This window comes from Homo sapiens, chromosome 14, assembly GCF_000001405.40.
Source record: "Homo sapiens chromosome 14, GRCh38.p14 Primary Assembly".
NCBI classification, from domain to species: Eukaryota; Metazoa; Chordata; class Mammalia; order Primates; family Hominidae; genus Homo; species Homo sapiens.
Window position 1 is genome coordinate 74,305,261 of NC_000014.9, and position 26,133 is coordinate 74,331,393.

The 26,133-nt window shown below is 46.8% G+C and overlaps 1 protein-coding gene and 1 pseudogene across 1 annotated transcript in view, besides 3 other annotated features; both read left to right on the top strand.

Annotated features, from left to right (window-relative positions):
* The window catches only part of VRTN (vertebrae development associated), a 57,016-nt gene that overhangs the window by 2,268 nt on the left and 28,615 nt on the right, over positions 1 to 26,133 (top strand). The window lies entirely within an intron of this gene.
* On the top strand, positions 163 to 803 carry SUB1P2 (SUB1 pseudogene 2; annotated as a pseudogene).
* Positions 20,466 to 21,085: an enhancer, noted in NCBI's record as "OCT4-NANOG-H3K27ac-H3K4me1 hESC enhancer chr14:74792429-74793048 (GRCh37/hg19 assembly coordinates)". NCBI's record gives its function as "activates a minimal SCP1, AML or CMV promoter by ChIP-STARR-seq in naive H9 embryonic stem cells {active_cell/tissue: H9 hESC(naive)}" and the evidence as "EXISTENCE:reporter gene assay evidence [ECO:0000049][PMID:30033119]".
* Positions 22,326 to 22,947: an enhancer, noted in NCBI's record as "NANOG-H3K27ac-H3K4me1 hESC enhancer chr14:74794289-74794910 (GRCh37/hg19 assembly coordinates)". NCBI's record gives its function as "activates a minimal SCP1, AML or CMV promoter by ChIP-STARR-seq in primed H9 embryonic stem cells {active_cell/tissue: H9 hESC(primed)}" and the evidence as "EXISTENCE:reporter gene assay evidence [ECO:0000049][PMID:30033119]".
* Positions 24,188 to 24,807: an enhancer, noted in NCBI's record as "H3K27ac hESC enhancer chr14:74796151-74796770 (GRCh37/hg19 assembly coordinates)". NCBI's record gives its function as "activates a minimal SCP1, AML or CMV promoter by ChIP-STARR-seq in primed H9 embryonic stem cells {active_cell/tissue: H9 hESC(primed)}" and the evidence as "EXISTENCE:reporter gene assay evidence [ECO:0000049][PMID:30033119]".

Genomic DNA, 26,133 nt, shown 5'->3' on the forward strand with positions numbered 1-26,133 from the left:
GGCGGAGGTTGCATTGAACTGAGATTGTGCCATTGTACTCCAGCCTGGGTGACAAGAGTGAGACTGTTTCAAAAAAAAAAAAAAAAAAGAAGAAGAAGAAGTAATACACCAGAGTTACCAGTGAGCAAGCGGGAGGCTACTGGAGTGCAGCAGAGCAGAGTAATGCCCAAATCAAAGGAACTTACTTCTTCAAGCTCTTCTGGCAGCGGTTCTGACAGTGATGTTGACAAAAAGTTAAAGAGGAAAAAGCAGGTTGCTCCAGAAAGACCTGTAAAGAAGCAAAAGACTGGTGAAACTTGAAGAGCTCTATCATCTTCCAAAGAGAACAGCAGCAGCAGCACAGATGATAACATGATGTTTCAGGTTAGGAAAATGAGGTACATTAGTGTTTGGGATTTTTTTTTAGACTTGTCCCCCAAGGCTGGAGCGCAATGGCACGATCTTGGCTCACTGCAACCTCTGCCTCCCAGGTTCAAGCAATTCTCCTGCCTCAGCCTCCTGAGTAGCTGAGACTGCAGGCACTCGCCACCATGCCTGGCTAAGTTCTGTCTTTTATGTCGAGACAGGGTTTCACCATGTTGGCCAGGCTGGTCTTGAACTCCTGACCTCAAGTGATCTGCCCACCTTGGCCTCCCAAAGTACTAGGATTACAAGTGTGAGCCACCAAGCCGGGCCAGTGTTTGGGATTTTAAAGGGTAATTGATATTAAATAATATTGGATGGATCCAGAAGGTGAAATGAAACCAGGAAGAGAAGGTATTTCTTTGAATTTGGAGCAAAGAAGCCAGCTGAAGGAACAGATTTTTTAAAATTTAAATTTAAAGATTATATATATATAATATATGTAAAAATATATATGTAAAATATATATATGTAAAAATATACATATATATATATATATATATATATATATTTTTTTTTTTTTTTTGAGACAGAGTCTTGCTCTGTTGCCCATGCTGGAGTGCAGTGGTGGGATCACAGCTGACCGCAGCCTCCATCTCCTGGGCTCAAGTGATCCACCTCAGCCTCCTTAGTAGCTGGGACTGTAGGTGCTGGCATCACACACAGCTAATTAAAAAAAATTTTTTTTGTAGAGAAGGCAGGGGTTGGGGGGAGGTGTCTCACTGTGTTGTCCAGGCTAGTCTTAAATTCCTAGGCTCAAGTGATCCTCCACCTTTGCCTCCCTAAGTGCTAGGATTACAGATGTGAGCCACTGCACCTGGCCAAGAACAGATTTCTGATACTGATGATGCAGTTAAGAAAACTGTGAAATTCAAGCCATATAAAACCTATACTGTTCTAGTGTAGTTGGTTTGTGTGTGTGTGTGTGTGTGTGTCTGTGTATGTGTGGTTTTTTTTTTTTTTTTTGACAGGTTCTTGCTCTGTGGTCCAGGTAGAGTGCAGTGGGATAATAATCACAGCTCACTGCAGTCTCCAACTCCTCCCACCTCAATCTCCTGAGTAGCTGGGGCTACAGGTATGCGCCAACATGCCTAGCTAATTTTTAAGTTTTTTTTTTTTTTTAAATAGAGATGAGGTCTCACTATATTGCCCAGGCTGGTCTAGAACTCCTGAGCTCAAGCGATGCTTCTGCCTCAGCCTCCCAAAGTGTTAGGATTACAGGGCGGAGCCACCGCTCCTGGCCTCTAGTTGTTTTAATCTGTCTTTTTACATTGGCTTTTGTTTTCTAAATATTGTCCTCCAAGCTATTGTATGTTTAGATTGCAGAACAACTTGTAAAATGAATACTTGTTTTAATGTGCATTATTTAAAATGTTCTGAGTGAAGCTAATTGTCAACTTTATAAGGAGAATTGCTCTGTGCCCACCACTTAGTATACAATAAATCAAGTAATACATTCTTAACTGTTGTGGCCCTTTTTTTTTTTTTTTTTTTTTTTGAGATGGAGTTTCACTCTTGTTGCCCAGGCTGGATTGGGGCTCACTGCAACCCCTGCCTCCCAAGTTCAAGTGATTCTCCTGCCTCAGCCTCCTGGGTAGTTGGATTATAGGCACCCGCCACCACGCCCGGCTAATTTTTTATATTTTTAGTAGAGATGGAGTTTCACCATGTTGGCTAGGCTGGTCTCAAACTCCTTACCTCAGTTGATCCACGCGCCTCCACCTCCCCAAGTGCTGAGATTACAGGCGTGAGCCACTGCTCCTGGCCCTGTTGTGGCCTTTTTTGATCATGAGAGTTGGTGCTCTTGAAGGCCAAAAATGACAGTTTTTTATAGATCTTTTAATTTCAATTCAGCTTTCACAATAAAAAAGAGTGTATTGCATTGAACAAAAAAAGTATTACACCAATACTAAACTTGATGTAAAATGTGATCTCAACTATGAAAATATATATAGATGTAAATATCTGCATAGAAAAATCATAATGAAGCATAGCAAAAGGCCATATATCATATTGGTTGTTAATATTTGAGTTTATATTTCAGAGTTATCTTTTGGATAAGATCCAATTTTTTTTTCTTTTTTTTGAGATGGAGTCTCGCTCTGTTGCCCAGGCTGGAGTGCAGTGGCGCGATCTTGGCTCACTGCAACCTCCGCCTCCCGGGTTCAAGCAATTCTCCTGTTTAGCCTCCCAAGCAGCTGGGACTACAGGCGTCCACCAGCACGCCTGGCTAATTTTTGTATTTTTAGTAGAGACAGGGTTTCACCATATTGGCCAGGCTGGTCTCGAACTCCTGATCTTGTGATCTACCTGCCTCAGCCTCCCAAAGTGCTGGGATTACAGGTGTAAGCCACCGGGTTTAGAGCCAACTTAAAATTAGTTCAAATTTCTAATTAGCTCATAACTGTGATCGATGTTTTCTTTTTATTTTATTTTTTTCTTTTCTAGGTTTTTAAAAAATTCACAATCCACTTGGGCACAGTGGCTCACACCTGTGGTCTCAGAACTTTGGGAGGCCAAGGCCAGAGGTTTGCTTGAGCCCAGGAGTTCAAGACCAGCCTGGGCAACATAGCTAGACCCCCATCTCTACAAAAAAAGAAAAAAATTGGGATCCAAATAAGGTCTACACATTGCAATTGATCATATGTCATTTAACACTCTTTTAGTTTATAGGTTCCTCTTCTACCCCTTTAGACCAGCTACTATTATCTCATTTTCATGTCCTTCTGCAAAACCTTCTAACTGGATTTCTACACTTGAATTTCCTCCTGCTCTAATCCAGTTTCTACAAAGCAGCCAGAGAAATCTGAACAAATGTAAACCAGATCAACAGTCCACTTAAAGCCCTTCAAGGCTTCTTTTTTTTTTTGAGATGGAGTTTCGCTCTTGTTGCTCAGGCTGGAGGGCAGTGGTGTGATCTCGGCCCACTGCAACCTCTGCCTCCCGGGTTCAAGCGATTTTCCTGCCTCAGCCTCCTATGTAGCTGGGATTACAGGCACCCGCCACCACGCACAGCTAATTTTTGTTATTTTTAGTAGAGATGGGGTTTTGCCATGTTGGCCAAGCTACTCTCGAACTCCTAACCTCAAGTGATCTGCTGGCCTTGGCCTCCCAAAGTGCTGAGATTACAGGCGCGAGCCACTGCACCCTGCTCTTCAAGGCTTCTTATGCCCTGGCCTTGCCTATTGCTCCAACTTCTGTTTGTTTTTTTTTTTTTTTTGAGACAGTCTTGCTCTGTTGCCCAGGATGGAATGCAGTGGTATGATCTCAGGTCACAGCAACCTCTGCCTCCCAGGTTAAAGTGATTCTTGTGCCTCATCCTCTCGAGTAGCTGGGATTACAGGCTTATGCCACCATGCCCAGCTAATTTCTGTTTGAACCTCTTTAGGGGCTAGAAAACAAACCTTGTTTTCCTCTACTCTTCCGGTGATTTTTATTCTTCCTTCCATCCCCGCTGTGAATGTCCCTTCCCCAGAGAGTCTTTTCCTAACCACCCTTTATTGTTTCCTTCCACAGCACCCCACTTTTTCCTGCTTCTAGCATTTATTGCAGCTGGTTATATTTTCATTTTGTGCGTTTACTTCATTCATGCCTCTCTCGCTCCACCCCAAGAGGACAGGGACCATGTCTGTTGTGTTCACACTACTGTGTCCCCATTTTCCAGAAGCACTCGTAAGAGCACAGTAGCTATTTGTTTAACAAATATTTGCAAAATCTTCTAACTGGGTTTATACACTTGAATTTCCCCCGGCTCTAATCCAGTTTTTACAAAGCAGCCAGAGAAATGTGCACAAATGTAAACCAAATCAACAGCCCACTTAAAGCTCTTAAGTGATTCTTGTGCTGTTTGTTGAACAAAGATAAACAAGACAATCCCTAACCTCAAAAAACACACAGTGAGGCTAGGGCTCACTGCAGCCTCAACAACGGAGGCTAAGGCAGGAGGATTGCTTGAGCCCAGGAGTTAGAGGCTGCACTGAGCTATGATCATACCACTGCACTCCAGCCTGGGCAACACAGCGAGACCTCGTTTCTAAAAGTAAATAAATAAAATTTTAAAAAACCCACAGGTCACTGTCTCTGCTTATACTGTTTTCTAATGGGACCAAACTTCCCTTATTTCAGCTCCTAGAGTCCTGTGCTACTTCCTCACTCTTATACATAGATAAAGGGAAGACAAATTGATGTTTTTTTTAAAAAAGGAAAATAATTTGGTAATAACTGTCAAATTTTAGATGATGCCGTAGTTTCATTTCCAGGAATTCTCTTATAAATATATTTACCCAAAAGCACAAAGGACAAAGGGTCAATCACAAGGATGTTTCTACAGCATAGAAGGTAATAGCAAAATCCTAGAAGCAACCAGAATGCTTATCAAAGGAGGAGCAGTTAAACAAAATATGACACCCTCACTGTGTAGAATATATTTTGCAGCTATTAATAAGAAGGAGATGGCCGGGTGCCATGGCTCACGCCTGTAATCCCAGCACTTTTGGAGGCTGAGGCGGGTGGATCACCTGAGGTTGGGAGTTCGAGACCAGCCTGACCAACATGGAGAAACCCCGTCTCTACTAAAAATACAAAATTAGCCAGGCGTGGTGGCACATTCCTGTAGTCCCAGCTACTCGGGAGACTGAGGCAGGAGACTCACTTGAACGTGGGAGGCAGAGGTTGCAGTGAGCCGAGATCGCGCCATTGCACTCCAGCCTGGGCAACAAACGCAAAACTCTGTCTCAAAAAAAAAAAAAAAAAAAGGAGAAGTAGCATTGCCATAGTGATTCAGAACATGGACCTCAGAGCCGGATTGCATGGGTTCAAATCCCCACTCTATCACTTGGTATTTGTGTGACCTTGGGGGCATGCTGCCTCTGTTTTTTTTTTTTTTTTTTTTTAAACACAGAGTCTTGCTCTGTCACCCAGGCTGGAGTGCAGTGGCACAATCCCGGCTCACTGCAGCCTCCGCCTCCTGGGTTCAAGTGATTCTCCTGCCTCAGCCTCCCAAGTAGCTGGGACCACAGGCATGTGCCACCATGCCTGGCTAAATTTTGTATTTTTAGTAGAGATGGGGTTTCACCATCTTGGCCAGTCTGGTCTCAAACTCCTGACCTGAAGTGATCCGCCCACCTTGGCCTCCCGAAGTGGTGGGATTACAGGCATGAGCCACTGCACCCGGTGAGGTTTTTAAATTTTTCTTTAAAAAAAATTTGGGGGGGTAAAGACAGGGCCTCACTATGTTGCCTAGGCTGTCGAACTCCTGGCCTCAAGCGTTCCTCCTGCCTTGACCTCCAAAAGTGGTGGGATTACAGGCATGAGCCACTGCACCTAGCCTCAGTTTTTTAAAATCTGTAAATGAGGGTAATAATAGTTTCCACATCAGAGGGTTGTTTCGAGGAATAAACAAGTTAATAGATATTAAGACTTAAACATTACCTGGCAATAATAAGAGCTGAATGTGACATTAATATTAAACATTGAACAATGTCCATGCCCTATTGTTTCATTTAATCAACTAGTTTTTTAATTGAAAAATTGAAAAGCATGTGGTTAAAAAAAATTTTGCAAAAGATGATAGGGCATATAATAAAAAATAAGTTTGTCTTCCACCCCAGAGCCAAGCTGTTCACAGCTTCTTAGGAATCTTTCCCGAAATGTTTTATATATATGCAAACTTATATGTATTAATATATTTCACACATACCCACACTCAAACACAAATACTCCTTTTCCTTTTAAACACTCTGCCTTGCAGCTTGCATTTTTTTTTTTTTTTCTCTTTGAGACAGACTCTCATTCTGTTGTCCAAGCTGGAGTGCAGTGGCGTGATCTTGGCTCACTGCAACCTCTGCCTCCTGGGGTCAAGCTACTCCCTCCCAAGTAGCTGGGATTACAGGCATGCTCCACCACACCTGGCTAATTTTTGTATTTTTAGTAAAGACGGGGTTTCGCCATGTTGGCCAGGCTGGTCTTGAATTCCTGACCTCGGGTGATCTGCCTGCCTCGGCCTTCCAAAGTGCTGGGATTATAGGGGTGAGCCACCGCTCCCGGCCGCAGCTTTCTTTTTACACTTTGTAATATATCTTGGAAGTTGTTCCATATCAGCATATACAGACTTTTTTTTTTTTTGAGATGGAGTTTCGCTCTTGTCACCCAGGCTGGAGCACAGTGGTGCGATCTTGGCTCACTGTCACCTCTGCTTTCCTGGTTCAAGCAATTCTCCTGCCTCAGGCTCCTGAGTAGCTGGTATTACAGGCATCCGCCACCATGCCTGGATAATTTTTTGTATTTTTAGTAGAGACAGGGTTTCACCATGTTGGCCAGGCTGGTCTTGAACTCCTGACCTCAGGTGATCCACCTGCCTTGGCCTCCCAAAGTGCTGGGGTTACAGGCATGAGCCACCGCGCCCAGCCAGCATACACAGATTTAAGTAATTACTTTTTTCCACTGTTAAGTTTGTGACAAACCCATTGTCAAATTGTGCCATCATAAGTCAGGGACTGTCTCTACAGAGGAACTATATATCTAGTTTCCTATTGACAGACATTTTAGTGGGTTATAGTCTCTTGCTATTACATATAATGCTGCAATTAACATCTTTGGATATATCCCAAATATAGCTAAGTTTAAAAGAAGATAGGCTCCATATTTTGTTTTTTAAAAGCATGTTTGTGTGTGCATAACTGTGCACCCACTGAAGTTGATTGCAATCTGTAGGAATTCAGAATGCAAGGATTGGAGAGAGCAAAAGGCAGTTTGACTAAAGAGCCCATATGCTTAAGTGTTTTGTTTTTTAATCTCTCTTTTTTTTCAAGAGAAAGTCTCACTCTGTAGTCCAGGCTGGAGTGCAGTGATGTAGTTTTGGTTCACTGCAGCCTCGACCTCCCAGGCTCGAGTGATCCTTCCACCTCAGCCTCCCGAGTAGCTGGGACTACAGGCACATGCCACCACACCCAGCTGATTTTTGTATTTTTTGTAGAGACGGGGTTTCACCATGTTGCCCAGGCTGGTCTCAAACTCCTGGGCTGAAGTGATCTGCCTTCTTCACTCTCCCTAAGCGCTGGGGTTACAAGCACGCACCACCGCACCTGGCCTGTGTTTTTTTTTTTTTTTTTGAGGCAGAGTCTCGCTCTGGCGCCCAGGCTGGAGTACAGTGGCTCACTGCAACCTTCGCCTCCCAGGTTCAAGTTATTCTCCTGTCTCAGCCTCCTGAGTAGCTGGGATTACAGGCTCACTCCACCACGCCTGGCTAAGTTTTATATTTTTAGTAGGGACAGGGTTCCACCATGTTGGTCAGGCTGGTCTCGAACTCCTGACCTCATGATCCACCTGCCTCGGCCTCCCAAAGTGCTGGGATTACAGGCATGCGCGCTGCGCCTGGCCTGTGTTTTGTTTTTTAAAATGTTACCTATACAATAAATTTTTTTCAGAGATTATACCCTAAAAGAGAAGCAATCATTTTATCTTCTGGTCCTCCAAGCTCTTGGTTCACACCTCAGTTATAGACAGAGTTGGACCTGTCTGTTTCCCTTGCTAGCCAAGGAGCTTGCCTAGTCAACCTCCAATACCCAGCCCAGCGCCTGGCACATAGAAGGTGTTCACTAAACACTTCTGTGATGAATGAAGCTACTCCTCTGACCTAGGTTTCCCTGTATATAAAATTAGAATGATAAAGCGACTCACATCTAATGGCCATCCTAAGAAATTCCTGAGCAAAAAAAAAGAAATTCCTGAGCAATGTGAAAGTTCTTAAAAAAAATGAAAGTTTGTTAAAATACTCAAGAATAGCTGCTTAATCTAAAATTTATCCTGTGGGCTGACCAGGTCAAAATGTCTGCAGTGTAGCTGGTTCAAAGGACGGTGACATCTTCCCCAAGTGAGAACAGCCTATTAAATTTGTGAGCAGGAGGGACAGAGTTGTCAGCTGAGCAGAGCCCTGCTGTCACGTCCTCTAGATCTGAAACCATCTTGGCCTCTTTCCACCCTGGAATCATTTTGGAAAGATTAAGGCCCCTGCAAGTCTGTTAAAAAGTTGGAGCCTTGGCTGGGCGTGGTGGCTCATACCTGTAATTCCAGCACTTTGGTAAGCTGAGACAGGAAGATTGCTTGAGCTCAGGAGTTGGAGACCAGCCTAGGCAACATGGCAAGACCTCATTGCTACAAAACAAAAACAAAAATTAGCTGGGTGTGGTGGTGCAAGCTGTAGTCTCAGATGCTTGGGAAGCTGAGATCGTGCCACTGCACTCCAACCTGGGCAACAGAGCGAGACACTGTCTCAAAAACAAAAAACGAAAAACAGCTGGAGCCTTTATATTAGATATCACCAAAGGACTCCCCAACCATAGAGTAATCTTAGAGTATTGAAGGGGTGGAAAGGTATAATAAATCTCCTCTTTATCATAAGGGTCATGGCCACCACTCCTATAACAAAAGACTGATTAACAAGAGAAAAGCATAAGCAATTTATAACTTTCTCTTTTAATTTTTTTTTTAGAGACAAGGTCTTGCTCTGTTGTCTAGGCTGGAGTACAGTGGTGTGATCATGGCTCATTGCAGCCTTGAACTTCTGGGCTCAAGCTATCTTCCCGCCTCAGCCTTCCCAGTAGCTGGAGTTGCAGGCGCACACCACCATGTCCATCTAAAAGCATATCAGATTTATCTAATCAAAATTGTGTAATTGTATGTGACGTGGGAGCCTTCAGAAATGAGGACCAAAAGACTCAAGAAAAAAACTGTTCTTTTTTTTTTTTTTTTTTTTGAGATGAAGTCTCACACTGTGGCCCAGGCTGGAGTGCAGTGGCACAATCTCGGCTCACTGCAACCTTCACCTTCTGGGTTCAAGCAATTCTCCTGCCTCAGCCTCCTGAGTAGCTGGGACTACAGGTGCACACCACCATACCCGGCTAAATTTTTTTTTTTGTATTTTTAGTAGAGATGGGGTTTCATCGAGTTAGCCAGGATGGTCTCTATCTCCTGACCTCCATGATCCGCCTGCCTCGGCCTCCCAAAGTGCCAGGATTACAGGCATGAGCCACTGCGTCCAGCCAAAAACTGTTCATTTTTATGCTTAGATTCAGTGAAGCATGACAGCTGTGTTGAAATGTGATTAGACAGAAAGGGAATGATCTAATAGTAACAGACTGAGTGGGGAAACCCAGCAAGGCCTCTGTTCAGATTCTTCTTGGCCTGTTTGTGTGGTGTTCCTTTCTCCTGGGTTTAGGGCAGTGCCCCTTCTGAAATGAAGGTCTTATGGTCTATTTTCAGACAAGGTAGGTCAGAATTTTATGGCCAGCTCCTACACAGAAGGATGGAGGAAGGTTAAAGTCCTATTTCTAGGTTTTATGGCTGGCTTTGAAGAAGAAGGGTTCTAGTTTCTATGGCCTGCCTTGGGAGAGGAAGGGAAGCAGGAGAAAGAAGAACAGGAGAAGAGAAGAAAGAGACTTTGCTTTTGAGGTCCTTCCAATGTCTTTCAGTTCAAAGTATCAGCATGCCAAAGTGCCATACTTTGGGGTATTGTTTTCTGAGCCCCAACAGTATTAAGGAGATGGCAGTGATACTTCTTTTTTTTTGAAATTGAGACGGAGTCTCACTCTGTCGCCCAGGCTGGCTTGTAGCGGTGTGATCTTGGCTCACTGCAACCTCCACCTCCCAGATTCATGCGAGTCTTGTGCCTCAGCCTCCTGAGTAGTTGGTATAACAAGCATGAGCCACCGCAACCAGCAACAGTGATAATTCGTTCAACATTCAGTAATTATTGACCAGGCCGGGTGTGGTGGCCATGCCTATAATCCCAGTGCTTTGGGATGCCGAGGCGGGAGGACTGCTTGAGGCCAAGAGTTTGAGATCAGCCTGGGCAACATAGCATGACCCTGTCTCTACAAAACAATACAACAAAAAAGCAAACAAAAAGCATTTACTGAGTAACTACTCTGTATGTGCCAGGCATAGGTGCTGGAGATATAGCAGTTTCAAGACAAAGTATCTGCCTTCACAGACCTTAGGCAAATACAAAACAATATTAAATATAAATCAGATAGCGCTAAGAAAACTACAGTGGGTGTCACAAGTAGGGTCCACTGGATCCACACCCTGAGACAATGCTTATCATGCTCAATGACTATAGAGATTGCATATTGGTAGGGAGATGAAGGAAGCATGATTGGGCAGAGGGAGGAATCAAGCTGAGAGGTAGGCCCTACTACAGCCTCAGCCGACCCCATGGGGAGCACCAGAGTGGACATGGCCCATCTCAGTTGCTTCCTGTTGGGCCACAGTGGCCCTCCTTTCTACCCCACCCCAATCAGTCACTGGGTGTGGGATATCTTGCAAAGGGCGTAAACTCAGGCAAATTCTCTCTTGTAGCTGAGGCAATTCTCAAAGGAGCTGATAGCTGAAGGCTGTCTGCTTACGGCACTCCCAGCAGCTGGGGCAACAAGTCCTGCCTTGAAAGGGAATCTGGGCAGGGGGTCAACATGTCCATCACCCAGCATATGGGGAGAGAGGATGATGGTGGAGGTGCTTCTTGGGATAGGGTGGTCAGGGAAGGACTCTCCGAGGAGGTTTTAAAGAACCTAAATGAGGCTGGGTGTGGTGGTTTACACCTGTAATGCCAGCACTTTGGGAGGCTGAGGTGGGTGGGTCATGAGATCAGGAGTTCAAGACCAGCCTGGCCAACATGGTGAAACTCTGTCTCTACTAAAAATATAAAAATTAGCCAGGTGTGTCGCACGCCTCTAGTCCCAGCTACTTGGGAGGCTGAGGCAGGAGAATCACTTGAACCTGGGAGGCAGAGGCTGTGGTGAGCCGAGATCACGCCACTGCACTCCAGCCTGGGCAACAAAGCGAGACATCTCAAACAAACAAACAAACAAATGAACAAACAACCTGAATGAAGTGAAGGAAGGAGCCATGCAGATTCTGAGGGAAGAGCATTCTAAGCAAAGGGAACAGCAAATGCAAATGCCCAAAGGAGGGATTATTCTTTTTTTTTTTTTTTTTGAGATGGAGTCTCACTCTGTCACCCAGGCTGGAGTGCAGTGTCGTGATCTCGGCTCACTGCAATCTCCGCCTCCCGGGTTCACGCCATTCTCCTGCCTCAGCCTCCCGAGTAGCTGGGACTACAGGCGCCCGCCACCATGCCCGGCTAATTTTTTTGTATTTTTAGTAGAGACGGGGTTTCACTGTGTTAGCCAGGATGGTCTCGATTTCCTGACCTCGTGATCCGCCCGTCTCGGCCTCCCAAAGTGCTGGGATTACAGGTGTGAGTCACCGCCCGGCAAGGAGGGATTATTCTTGGGATGTTCAAGGAAGAGCAAAGAAGCCAGCATGGCCAGAGTGCAATGAACAAGGGGAGAGTGATAGGAAATGCACAAGGGCCAGGTCATGTAGAGTCTTGCACACTATCATAAAAAATTTGAATCTTTATTGTTACAGGAAGCCATTGGAGGGTTAAAAACAGAAGAGTGACAAAATTTGGTGGATGATTTAAAAGGATCACCCTGGATGCTGCTGTATGGAGAGCTAGAATGGAGTTAGGGAAATCAGATAGGAAGCTATTCTGGTATTTCAGGTGAGAGAGTCATGGTTGGGACTATAGAAAGGGACAGGTTGGTGGGGACTATAGAATGGTACAGAGCTGTAGAGAAGTGGCTCTCAACCAGGGTGACTTTGCTCTAGCTTATCTTACATACTTCTCCCCAACTCTCCCTACCAGCCAAGGACATTTGTTCAGTATCTGGATATTTTCGGTTGTCATAACTGACGGATGCTATTGTCTTCTAGTGAGTGCTGCAAAGTATCCTACAATAATGCACAGGACAACTCCCCATGACAAATAATTACTTGGTCCAAAATGTCAATAGTGAGCCAGGCACGGTGGGTCACACCTGTAATACCAGCGCTTTGGGAGGCCAAGGTGGGTGGGTCACCTGAGCTCAGGAGTTCAAGACTAGCCTGGCCAACATGGTGAAACTCCGTTTCTACTAAAAATACAAAAATTAGCTGGGTGTGGTGGCAGGTGCCTATAATACCAGCTACTTGGGAGGCTGAGGCATGAGAATCACGTGAACTTGGGAGGTGGAGGTGGCAGTGAGCAGAGTTCGTGCCACTATACTCCAGCCTGGAGGATACAGTGAGACTCTGTCTCCAAAGAAAAACAAAAAAACAAAAAAAACAAAATCTCAATGGTGGCTGGGCACAGTGATTCATGCCTGTAATCCCAGCGCTTTTGGAGGCCAACATGGGAGTATTGCTTGAAGCCAGGAGCTTTATACCAGCCTGGGCTACAAAGCAAGACCTCATCTCTTTTTTTAAATTAGTTGAGCATGGTAGCAAGCAACTGTAGTCCAGGCTATTACGGAGGCTGAGGCAAGAGGATTGCTTGAGCCCAGGAGTTCAAGGCTGCAGTGAGCTATGATTGTGCCACTGCACTCCAGCCTGGGCAGCAGGGTAAGAACCTGTCTCAAAAATAAAATTTAAAAAAAGACAATAGTACTAAGGTTGAGAGACCTTAGTCTCGGCTCACTGCCATCTCCACCTCCCAGGTTCAAGGGATTCTCCTGCCTCAGCCTCCTGAATAGCTGGGATTACAGGCATGTGCCACCACGCCTGGCTAATTTTTTTTTTTTTTCGGAGACAGAGTTTCGCTCTTTGTTGCCCAGGCTGGAGCGCAATGGCGTGATCTCGGCTCACCGCAACCTCCGCCTCCTGGATTCAAGTGATTCTCCTGCCTCAGCCTCCCGAGTAGCTGAGATTACAAGCATGCGCCACCACGCCCGGCTATTTTTGTATTTTTAGTGGAGGTGGGGGTTTCTCCATGTTGGTCAGGCTGTTCTTGAACTCCCAACCTCAGGTGATCCGCCTGCCTCGGCCTCCCAAAGCGCTGGGATTACAGGTGTGAGCCACCACGCAAGGCCCCGGCTAATTTTTGTATTTTTAGTAGAGAAGGCGTTTCACCATGCTGGCCAGGCTGGTCTCGGACTCCTGACCTCAGGTGATCCGCCCGCCTTGGCCTCCCAAAGTGCTGGGATTACAGGCGTGAGCCACCGTGTCCGGCCTTTTTTTTTTTTTTTTTTTTTAAATGGAGTCTTGCTCTGTTGCTCAGGGTGGAGTGCAATGGCCCAATCTTGGCTCACTGCAACTTCCACCTCCCAGGTTCAAGCAATTCTTGTGCCTCAGCCTCTCAAGTAGCTGGGGACTACAAGTATGTGCCACCATGCCCAGTTAATTTGTATATTTTTAGTAGAGACCGGGTTTCACCGTGTTGGTCAGGCTGGTCTTGAACTCCTGACCTCAAGTGATCGACCTGCCTCGGCCTCCCAAAGTGCTGGGATTACAGGCATGAGCCACTGTGCCTGGTCTCGGGATTTTTTTTTGTTGTTTGTTTGTTTTGAGATGGGGTCTCACTCTGTCACCCAGACTGGAGTGCAGTGGCTCGACCTTGGCTCACCACACTGAAACCTCCGCCTCCCAGGCTCAAGCGATTCTCCTGCCTTGGCCTCCAGAGTAGCTGGGATTACAGGCATGTGCCACTACTGCCTGGCTAATTTTTGTATTTTCAGTAGAGATGGGGTTTCACTATGTTGGCCAGGCTGGTATTGAGCTCCTGACCCCAAATGATCCACCCTCCTTGGCCTCCCAAAGTGCTGGGATTACAGGCATGAGCCCGGCCCGCGCCTGGCCCCCTCGGGATGTATTTTTATAGTATTTTGACAATAGAGACAATCAGATTTGGGTTTGGATGTGGTGAATGAGAGAAAAAGGAATCAAGTGTGGTTCTGCAGCTCATCCAAATGGCCCTCTGCTCTACCAACTGAGCTATCAAAGACCCCGCTTCAAGTGCAACTTTAAGGCTTTGGACTGAGCAACTGAGTGAATGATGGTACCATTTACTGGGGTTGGGAGTTATGGGGAAAGAACAGATTATGTGTGAGGAACAGGTGGTAAATCAAGAGTTTGTTTATGGACAGGTTAAATTTGAGATGCCTGTTGGACACCCAGTGGTGATGTTACATAAGCAATTGGCTGTTTGAGTCTGGAAGTTAGGGAAGATGTCTGAGCTGGAGCCATAAATGTGGAAATCATCAGAAGAAAGGTGGGGTTTTAAATGAGTAGATTGCAAGAGATCACCTAAGGGTTGACTGTAGATTGAGAAGAAAAGAGGTCAGAGGACTGTGCCTTTTGGGAGTCCAACATCTAGTAGTAAAGAGCCAGCAAAGGAGATGGAGAAGGAGCAGCCAGGGAGGTAGGAGAACTGGACAAATGTGTTGTCCTGAAAGCCAAAGAATATGAGTGCTTCAAGAAGCAAGCCCTGGCTGGGCACGGTGGCTCATGCCTGTAATCCCAGCACTTTGGGAGGTGGAGGCGGGAGGATTGCTTGAGACCAGCTCAGGCAACATAGTGAGACCTCCCTCTTTACAAAAAAATAAAAATAAAAAAATTAGCTGGGCATAGTGGCATGCTCCTATACTCCTAGCTGCTCCCACTACAGGAAGCTGAAGTGCGAGGATTGCTTAAGCCTCAGTCTTCGAGGCTGCAGTGAGCTATGATTATGCCACTGTACTCCAGCCTGGGTGACAGAGCAAGATCCCATCCCTTTTTTTTTTTTTTTTTTTTTTTTTTTTTGAGACGGAGTCTCGCTCTGTCGCCCAGGCTGGAGTGCAGTGGCACAATCTTGGCTCACTACAACCTCTGCCTCCCGGGTTCACGCCATTCTCCTGCCTCAGCCTCCCAAGAAGCTGGGACTACAGGCGCCCGCCGCCACCACGCCGGCTAAATTTTTGTATTTTTAGTAGAGACGGGGTTTTACCATGTTAGCCAGGATGGTCTCGATCTCCTGACCTTGTGATCCGCCCGCCTTGGCCTCCCAAAGTGCTGGAATTACAGACTTGAGCCACTGCGCCCGGCCTCTTTTTTTTTTTTTTTTTTTTTTTTTTTTTTTTTTTTTTTTTGAGACGGAGTCTTGCTCTGTCACCCAGGCTAGAGTGCAGTGGCGTGATCTCGGCTCACTGCAACCTCTACCTCCCGGGTTCAAGCGATTCTCCTGCCTCAACCTCCCAAGTAGCTGGAATTACAGGTGCCCGCCACTGAACCTGCCTAATTTTTGTATTTTTAGTATAGATGGGGGTTTCACCATCTTGGTCAGGCAGGTCTGGACCTCCTGACCTCATGATCCACCTGCCTTGGCCTCCCAAAGTGCTGGGATTACAAGCGTGAGCCATTGCCTGGCCAGATCCCATCTCTTTAAAAAAAAAAAAAAAAAAAAAAAAGCAGCAGCAGCAGCAGCAGCAAGGGTGGATCAACTGTGTCAAATGTTCCTGAAAGGCTGTGGATAAGGATTGAGAATTGCCCACTGGAAATGCATATAAAGTTTATCAGTGGCCTTGACAAGAGCAGGTTCCATGGAGTGGGTTCAGGAGAAACAGGAAGGTGAGAAAATAGAAATGGGAATTACACACAATTCTTTCAAAGAGTTGTGCCACAAATGGGGACAAGTAATGTGTCAGTAATAAGAGGAGGATCCAGGATCAAGGATGGAAAGCTGTTACAACACATTTGTAGGCTGCAGGGAAGGTGTAGAAAAGAGAGGAAAATTGTTGATGTTAACCTCTATTGAATACTTACTAAGTAGGAGCTGCATGAGGCATTTTGTATGATTATTTCCTTTAACCTGCACACCCAACCAATGAGGAAGAGAATATGATCATCCCGATTTCACAGAACGCAAAACTGAGGCATGGAAAGGATGGGGTGGGGTACATGGACGTGGTCATAGGGCTAGTAAGTGGGGGAACTTGGAAGTAACCGGGATGTCTGGCTCCAGAGCCCACATTCTTGCTCTCTTTCATTTGCTTTTTTTTTTTTTTTTTTGAGACAGAGTCTTGCTCTGTTGCCCAGGCTGGAGTGCAGTGGTGTGGTCTCGGCTCACTGCAACCTCCACCTCCTGGGTTCAAGCGATTCTCCTGCCTTACCTCCTAAGTAGCTGGGATTACAGGCATGCGCCACCATGCCCGCTAATTTTTGTATTTTTAGTAGAGGCGGGGTTTCCCCATGTTGGCCAGGCTGGTCTCGAACTCCTGACCTCAGGTGATTCACTTGCCTCAGCCTCCCAAAATGTTGGGATTACAGGCGTGAGCCACCGTGCCCAGCTTTTCATTTGCATTTTTAAAATGTATTTTTATTTTATTATTTATTTATTTATTTTGAGACAGAGTCTTGCTCTTGTCCCACAGGCTGCAGTGCAGTGGTGCGATCTTGGCTCACTGCAACCTCCACCTCCCGGGTTTGAGCGATTTTCCTGCCTCAGCCTCCTGAGTAGCTGAGACTACAGGTGTGTGCCACCACACCCAGCTAATTTTTTGTATTCTGTTTTTTAGTAGAGACGGGGTTTCACCATGTTGGCCAGGATGGTCTCGATCTCTTGACCTCATGATCCACCTGCCTTGGCCTCCCAAAGTGCTGGGATTACAGGCGTGAGCCACCGTGCCCGGCTCCCCATATTTTTTTTTTTTTGAGACAGGGTCTCACTCTGTTGCCCATGCTGGAGTATAGTGGCACAGTCATGGCTCACTGTAACCTCTTGCCTCCTGGAGCTCAAGCAATCCTCTCACCTCAGCCTCTTGAGTAGCTGGGACCACAGGAGTGCACCATCAGGTCCAGCTAATTTTTATATTTTTTATAGAGATGGGGTCTCACTGTGTTGCCCAGACAGATCTTGAACTCCTGGGCTCGAGTGATTGTCCCTCCTCAGCCTCCCAAAATGTTGGGATTACAGGCATGAGCCACTGCACCTGGCCTATTTAAATTCATTTCTTATTGCAAATTGTAACCACTGTCTAAAATTTATATCTATTATCGTTTGTTCTCCCCTTGGTAGGAAAACACAATTATTGGCCTTTCAAGACTCCACTGAAGCATATCCCCTGAAATTTGCAACTGACTGCTCCCACCCTGTCCCTCTGCTTCTGAAGCAAATCCTGTCATAGCCCCTATGGAACTGTCCAACCCAACACCCCCTGTATTCCTATTGTGTCTGTTTTCTTGTCAATGTCCTGCAGTGGAACAGAAGCTCCTCAAAGTCTCCGGTTGCCTCCAATTCTCCTTTCTATCCCTAGCTGGCAGGACAAGCCTTCAAACAATAAATATCTGTCAGGAGTTTTATGGATGGATGAGTGAATGAACTTAAAAAGCATACTAGGGACCGGGCACGGTGGCTCACGCCTGTAATCCCAGCACCTTGAGAGGCCAAGGTGGGCAGATCACCTGAGGTCAGGAGTTTGAGACCAGCCTGGCCAAAATGGTGAAACCCTGTCTCTACAAAAATACAAAAATTAGCCAGGCATGGTGACATGCACCTGTAATCCTAACTACTCGGGAGGCTGAGGCAGGAGAATCACTTGAACCCAGGAGGTGGAGGTTGAAGTGAGCAGAGATCATGCCACTGCACTCCAGCTTGGGTGACAAAGTGAGACTCCATCTCAAAAAAAAAGCATACTGGGAATATTGGAAGCCACAGGACAGCTGAATATGGGCTTCTCCACCTACAAGCTGCATAGAGACAAAAGTGCTCTCAAAATTCAAAGTTCAAAAAAAATCTCTGGGGAGTAGAGGTTTGAAGGTGAGGATACTTGTTAAAAAGTGCAGGTTCTGGCTGGGGGCGGTGGCTCATGCCTGTAATCCCAGCACTTTGGGAGGCCGAGGCGGGCAGATCGCCTGAGGTCAGGAGTTTGAGACCAGCCTGGCCAACATGGTGAAACCCCATCTCTACTAAAATTACAAAAATCAGCTGGGCGTGGTGGTGGGCGCCTGTAATCCCAGCTACTCAGGAGGCTGAGGCAGGAGAATCATTTGAACCCGGGAAGTGCAGGCTGCAGTGAGCCAAGGTCGCCCCACTGCACTCCAGGCTGGGCGACAGAGTGAAATTCCATCTAAAAAAAAAAAACCAAACCAACAAACAAACAAAAAAAACCAGTGCAGATTCCTAGGCTTGACTCCCAGAGATTCTATTCAGTATGTCTGAGGTGGAGTCCAAGAGTTAGTACAGGGGTTTCTTTCCAAAGAATTCCATGCAATACTCCCTAGTCCTCCCACTGGAAGGTCAGGGAATCAGGAGACCTGGATTCTAGGCCACATTCTACTACTTATCATCTGGGAAGGGTTGCCAGATAAAATATGGCATGCAATATTTGGGACATGCAATACTAAAAAATTATTCATTATTTATATGAAATGCAAATTTAACTGGGCTTCCTATATGTCTGTTTGCTGAATCTGGCAACCTTCCAGCTGGGTGACCTCAGCCAAGCTGCATAACTTCCTAGAGCTTCAGTCTACTTATCTGTAAAATGGAGAAATTTGATCTTTCCTTATGGTCCTGAGGATTGAGAGCTTCATGTAAAGTGCTTAACTGCCGTGAATGGCACATGGTAAGTGCCCAGTAAATAAGCTATAAGAGGCCGGGCATGGTGACTCACGCCTGTAATCCCAGCACTTTGAGAGGCCGAGGCAGGCGGATCATGAGGTCAGGAGTTCGAGACCAGCCTGGGCAATATGGTGAAACCCCATCTCTACTAAAAATACAAAAAGTTAGCTGAGCGTGGTGGCGGGCGCCTGTAGTCCCAGCTACTCGGGAGGCTGAGGCAGGAGAATCGCTTGAACCCGGGAGGCAGAGGTTGCAGTGAGCTGAGATGGCACCACTGCACTCCAGCCTGGGTGACAGAGTGAGACTCTGACTCAAAAAAAAAAAAAAAAAAAAAGAAGGATTTATTTTAATTTTAATTTCTCTTACAGCATTAAAATGGAATTCATCAAGTAAGATTTACACATACTTCTCAGAAATACATCTTATGGCCAGTCTGTCTGGCAGCTGGCTGAGATGGTGAGATATGGACAGCCTGAGGCAGTCCTGGGCCCCAAAGAGAGGGTTAATGGGGGACATTTAAATTCTCATTCAGGCCGGGTGTGGTGGCTCACACCTGTAATCCCAGCACTTTGGGAGGCCGAGGCAGGATGCTCACTTGAGCCCGGTAGTTTGAGGCCAGCCTGCGTAACATGCCGAGACCCCGTCTCTACCAAAAATACAAAAATTAGCCGAGCGTGGTGGCGCATGCTATGGCCCCAGCTACTCAGGAGGCTGAGGCGGGAGGATGGCTTGAGCCCAGGAGGTGGAGGTTGCAGTGAGTTGAGATCTCCCCACTGCACTCCAGCCTGGGAGACAGAGTGAGACCCCATCTCAAAAAACTAATAATAAATACAATAAATAAATAAATAAATACATTCTCATTCAGACACTGATTTCTCAATCAGATTTTAGAGTTTCCCCAAATGAGCAAACTAGTAGGAAAAAAAAAAAGAGTGTGATCCTTCCAGAAACCAGTAGGGGGGAGTGTGTGCATTTCAGGATAAAACTAAAATACTACAGGATTCAGTCAAACAGCCCTGGCTGCAGGTTTTTCGCATCTTGGGAACAATGGAGGGCCTAATAAAGTCCTGGGGAGTGCACTGGTCAAGGCAAGGGTCAGTGCAGACCCCAAAATGCTGAGAAAATCAGCCTATACAGGGACAGCTCCTGTGGGCCATCTGTGGGAGGATGTTGTGGAAAATGAGAAACTAACGCAGATTTGGGAATATGGTATATAGAAGGAAAAAGAGACTTTGTATGTTGAAAGACGCCAAAAAAATCAAAAGCAAGTGAGAAACCAAGAGAAAAAAATTGCAAATTGTATGACAAAGAATTACAAAATGTATAAAGCTGTTCCACCAATTATCAAACCAAAGGTCAAAAAACAAAAAACAAACAAACAAAAAAACTAGAAGTAAAATGGATAAGAGATGAACACAGGTAATTTATGTAAGAAATAAGAACTATAAATAGGCTGGGCAAGGTGGCTCACGCCTGTTACCCCAGCACTTTGGGAGGCCAAGGCAGGAGGATCTCTTGAGCCCAAAATTTCGAGAACAGCCTGGGCAACATAGTGGGACCCCTGTCTACTCAGGAGTCCCAGCTACTCGGGAGGCTGAGGCAGGAAGATTGCTTGATCCCAGGAGTTGGAAGCTGCAGTGACCCATGATTGCACCACTGTACTCCAGCCTGGGCAACAGAGTGAGACCCTGTTTCAAAATAAAAAAAGAAAAAAAGAGGAAAGAAATATTAATACATAATAAACATACATTTAAAAGATTAATCTCTCTGGCAACAAGGAAATACAAATGAAAACACTGCAGGGGCTTTCTGCCTCGTTTTCCTATGCTTATTATCCATTGAGCACTTGTTCTGGGCCAGGCATTGTGCAAAGAGCTTTCTAGACATCAACTCAGAATTTAATGTTTACAAAAACTCTGAGAAGTAGGAACAAACATTATCCTCATTTTACCTAAAGAATGCGGCTCTGAAAGGTTAGTAACTTGCCTGGAGTTTACCCAGCTGGGAAGGGCAAGCAGGGTTCGGACCCATGTTTGTGTGATTCCAAGTCCTTCTTCTCCCCATACTGATTTCTCTGGGACCTCAATTGATATGTCCAAGCAGCATCCAGTGCTTGAATATGGTGCTTTGGAGAAGGCCCTGGAAGCTGTGAGCCCCAAGCAGCCAAAGAGGAACAGAAAAGAAAGAAAGAAACAAACAAAACCTCAGAAAATCAGACAGCAATGGAAGTGGTCCTGGGGAAGCAGGGTGTTTTGGCAGAACATAGAAAATGGGAATTTGGGGACTGGAGAGATGGGGGTTTGGAACGCCAATTGGGGGCTAGAGGAAACAGTTCGTGGCACATTCTAAGCAGGCTGGGGTCTGGCTGGCTTGAATGTTCACAGCCCTGGAGGATGGAAGCTGAGGAATCTGTTTGTCATCCACTGCATGCTGAGCTGCCATTCTCATATCTAAACCTTCCAGCCCCAAGTCCCTCATTCCCTCCCTCCTTCTCGCACCTGCTGGCAGCGGGGGCTCCAATGAATGGACAAGTTCCATGAATTCTTGCCCCTTCCCCCACCTTTTACATAGCCAAGCCCTGGAACAAAAGGCGCCCTGAGTCTGGGGCCCCTTCCCTGGACTCCTGCCAGCTCCAGGGAGTGCTAGACAGCTGGAGCCGAGCTCCACACCACACCATTTACATCTTTTACAGCCTTCCCACCCCATGATCCTCTCTCCCCACTCATGGCCACGGCTCAGGCCCACTGGACCCCAGGACGCTCCTCCTCGTTCCCTGGAGGTTGAGGGGAGTTGCTGTGACACAGATAGGGCAGCGGGATATGGGTGTGTGGTTCACATCCTAGAATCCAGGGCTGAAGGTGTAGATCCTTTGTCTAGGACAATCCATCCCACCCACCAAGCAGCAGCAATGGGAAGCTCCTTGCCTGTCACTTTGTGCTCCTGATTTCAGGCCCCACAGGTGGCTGTCCTGTAGGATTTGGGATCCTCTTTCCTAGGTGGTTGGTTCCCTATCTCCTTGGATTAGGTATCCTAGTGGTTTTATCCACTGATAAATACACTATTTATTGAGCACCTATTGTGTGCTTGGAACAATGGTAGGTGCGTCGCATCTGTTTCCTCATTTAATCCTCACCACAGCCCAAGGTGAAATATATGTGGATCCAGAGGCTCACCCCAAGCCTCCTCGGTCCGCTGGTCCACAGTAGTGACAGGATGTGAATCCAGGTCTTCCCCACCTGCCACCTTGAGTAGGAATCCGAGGACCAACTGGGTAACTCTTCCCTCAAACTCTCTTGCACAGTTCCGCAGTCTGCACTGTTTACCTGTTTACCGACTGTCTCCCAAATCACAGGAGCCATCCTATGATCCTGCCCTTTCCTGATCCGCAGGGATGGCCCCACCCAGGCTCCCCTTCCTCCCAGGCAGCCTCCTAAAGTCCACATTTTGTTTCAAATTCCCGTAGAGCAGGACAGGCCAGGAAAAGGGGCAGTTATACCTTCCCTTGGTGAGAAGCCCTCTCAAGACACAGGCCTGGCTTTGGTTTGCTGCTCCGCGATTCCTCCTTCCTCTCTTGCAAGCCTTGCCCTTGTGGACTGGGCCTAATTTCAGACAACATAAGCACTGGTTGATTTTATTTTATTATTATTATTATTATTATTTGAGATGGAGTCTCACTTCGTTGCCCAGGCAGGAGTGCAGTGAATGGTGCAATCTCAGCTCACTGCAACCTGTGCCTCCCAGGTTCGAGCAATTCTCTTGCCTCAGCCTCCCAAGTAGCTGGGACTACAGGTGCCCACCACCACGCCTGGCTAATTTTTGTCTTTTTAGTAGAGACAGGGTTTCACAATGTTGGCCGGGCTGGTCGCGAACCCCTGAGGTCAGATGATCCACCCACCTCAGCCTCCCAAAGTGCTGGGATTACAGGCATGAGCCACTGCGCCTGGCCCTTGTGGGTGATCTTGTCCTGGAGGAGATCGGGGCGAAGGAAAGGCGTGAGCCACCACACCTGGCTAGTGCTGGTTGATTCTAATTGGTATGTTCCACCTCTTCTGAGAGCTTCCTGAAGTACCTCCAACTTCCTGGGTTATGAGCCAATATATCAAAAGGTACCCTGCAGGGTGAGGACGGAAGACCCTGTGCCCTGGCCACCTCCTGCCTCAGAGAAGCCACAATAGAGCTGTCAGAGGTGGCCATGGTTTCTGTCAGTCCAGCCAGCCCTCTGTCTGGAGAGCCCAGTGGATCTCTGTAGTCCGTTGAGGGGCTCAGAAGCCATTTCAGCCACAATACTCCCAAGTATGTACCCAATGAATGATATCACAAAGTGCTGCCTTCAATTACCCCAAAATAAAAATATATAAATAAATATGTGTCTACAGATTGTTTTTTTGACCAAGCAATTCTACTTGGTGAGTCTTACAGGAAGGAACTTTTGCAAAACATACACACATTTGTTTACTGCAACACTGTTTCTGATAGTGAAAAACAGGAAAAAGTCAATGTTCAGTTGCAAGGGATTGCTTAAATAAATTATAATACCTCCCTACAACAAAACATTCTACAGCTGTTAAAAAACGAGGTAATTTTATACTGACAAGGAAAGAGATCCATGACATACTGCAGGGTTAAAAAGAGTAAGTTATTGGCCAGGTGCCCTGGCTCATGCTTGTAATCCCAGCACTTCAGGAGGCTGAGATGGGTGGATCACCTGAGGTCAGGGGTTCGAGACCAGCCTGGCCAACATGGTGAAACCTTGTCTCTACTAAAAATACAAAAATTGGGGCTGGGTGCAGTGGCTCACGCCTGTAATCCCAGCACTTTGGGAGGCTGAAGTGGGCGGATCACCTGAGGTCAGGGGTTTGAGACCAGACTGGCTATATAGTGAAACCCTGTCTCTATTAAAAATACAAAAATTGGGGCTGGGCACGGTGGCTCATGCCTGTAATCCCAGCACTTTGGGAGGCCGAGGAGGGCGGATCACCTGAGGTTGGGAGTTCCAGACCAGCCTGATCAACATGGAGAAACTCTGTCTCTACTAAAAAAAAAATACAAAATTAGCTGGGCATGGTGGCGCATGCCTGTAATCCCAGCTACTCAGGAGGCTGAGGCAGGAGAATCTCTTGAATCCAGGAGGCGAAGGTTGCAGTGAGCCAAGATCATGCCACTGCACTCCAGCCTGGGCGACAAGAGCAAAACTCCATCTCAAAAAAAAAAAAAAGAAACAGGGTCTCACTCTTGTCACCCAGGCTGGCCTGCAGTGGCATCTTCCAGGGCTCCAGTGATCCTCCCATCTCAGCTTCCTGAGTAGCTGGGACTACAGGCGCGTGCCACCACGAATAGCTAGTGGTTTTGTTTGTTTGTTTGTTTGTTTTTGTAGAGATGAGGTTTTGCAATGTTGCCCTGGCTGGTCTTGAACTCCTGGGCTCAAGAATTGACCCACCTTGACCCACCTTGGGTCTACCAAGTGCTGGGATTCCAGGTGTGAGCCATAGTGCCTGGCCTGTGGAGGCATTTTTTTTTTTTTTGAGACGGAGTCTCACTCTGTTGCCCAGGCTGGAGTGCAGTGGCGTGATCTCGGCTCACTGCCACCTCTGCCTCCTGGGTTCAAGCGATTCTCCTGCCTCAGCCTCCTGAGTAGCTGGGACTACAGGTATGTGCCACCATGCCCAGCTAATTTTTGTATTTTTAATAGAGACAGTTTCACCATGTTGGCCAAGCTGGTCTCGAACTCCTGACTTTAAGTGATCTGCCCACCTTGGCCTCCCAAAGTGCTGGGATTATAGGCATGAGCCACCGGGCCTGGGCTTTTTTTTTTTTTTGAAACAGAGTCTTGCTGTATCACCCAGGCTGGAGTGCGGTGGCACTATCTCAGCTCACTGCAACCTCTGCCTCCCGGTTCAAGCAATTCTTCTATCTCAGTCTCCTGAGTAGCTGGGATTACAGGCACGTGTCACCATGCCCGGCTAGTTTTTTTGTATTTTTTAGTAGAGACGGGGTTTCGCTATGTTGGCCAAACTAGTCTTGAGCTCCTAACCTCAAGTGATCTGCCTGCCTCGGCCTCCCAGAGTGCTAGGATTACAGGTGTGAGCCACTGTGCCGGGCCTGGAAAGCATTTTTTAAATCTCCCCAGGTGTTTCCCATGGGCAGCCAAGTTGGGAAACACTTTTCTAAAGAAATGGAAGGAAGGAAAGGTTGATTTGGAAAGGAAAGTGAGGTGATACTCTGTTTGTTCTACATGAAAACTAAACAGATACTACTTGCCCTGCTCTTTCTGGGGAAAAAAAGTAAAGGACCCAGAGTGGCCTTGAATTACTACTAGACTTATGTAAGCACTCAGTTAGTTGAAGTATAGCCCTTAGCAGTATCAAACTTTTTTTTTTTTTTTTTGAGACAGAGTTTCGCTCTTGTTGCCCAGGCTGGAGTGCAATGGTGCGATCTTGGCTCACTGCAACCTCTGCCTCCCAGGTTCAAGTGATTCTCCTGCCTCAGCCTCCCTAGTAGCTGGGATTACAGGCATGTGCCACCACGCCCGGCTAATTTTGTATTTTTAGTAGAGACGGGGTTTCTCCATGCTGGTCAGGCTGGTCTTGAACTCCTGACCTCAGGTGATCCGCCTGCCTCAGCCTCCCAAAGTGCTGGGATTACAGGCGTGAGCCACCGCGCCCAACAGCAGTATCAGACTTTCTGACTACACCTGAGGCGTTCTAGAAGTTGACCACTTGACTCTAGCAGATCAAGTCTGCAAGAGCAGAAAGAAGGGAAAGAGCCCACGTTGTTGCCTCATTCCGAAGGGCAAGAACCACCTCCTCATTGGCAAAACAGGAGCATGAATAAAACACAAGTCTGGGCCGGGCACGGTGGCTCACGCCTGTAATCCCAGCACTTTGAGAGGCCCAGGTGGGTGGATCACGAGGTCAGGAGATCGAGACCATCCTGGCTAACACAGTGAAACCCCGTCTCTACTAAAAAAAATACAAAAAATTAGCTGGGCATGGTGGCGGGCACCTGTAGTCCCAGCTACTCGGGAGGCTGAGGCAGGAGAATGGCGTGAACCCGGGAGGCGGAGCTTGCAGTGAGCCGAGATCGCGCCACTGCACTCCAGACTGGGGGACACGGTGAGACTCCGTCTCAAAAATAAATAAATAAATAAACAAACAAACAAACCACAAGTCTGGGCTGGGCACAGTGGCTCATGCCTGTAATGCCAGCACTTTGGGAGGCAGAGGCAGATGGATCACCTGAGGTCAGGAGTTCGAGACCAGCCCAGCCAACATGGTGAAACTCTGTCTCTACTAAAAACAGAAAAAATTAGCCAGGCATGG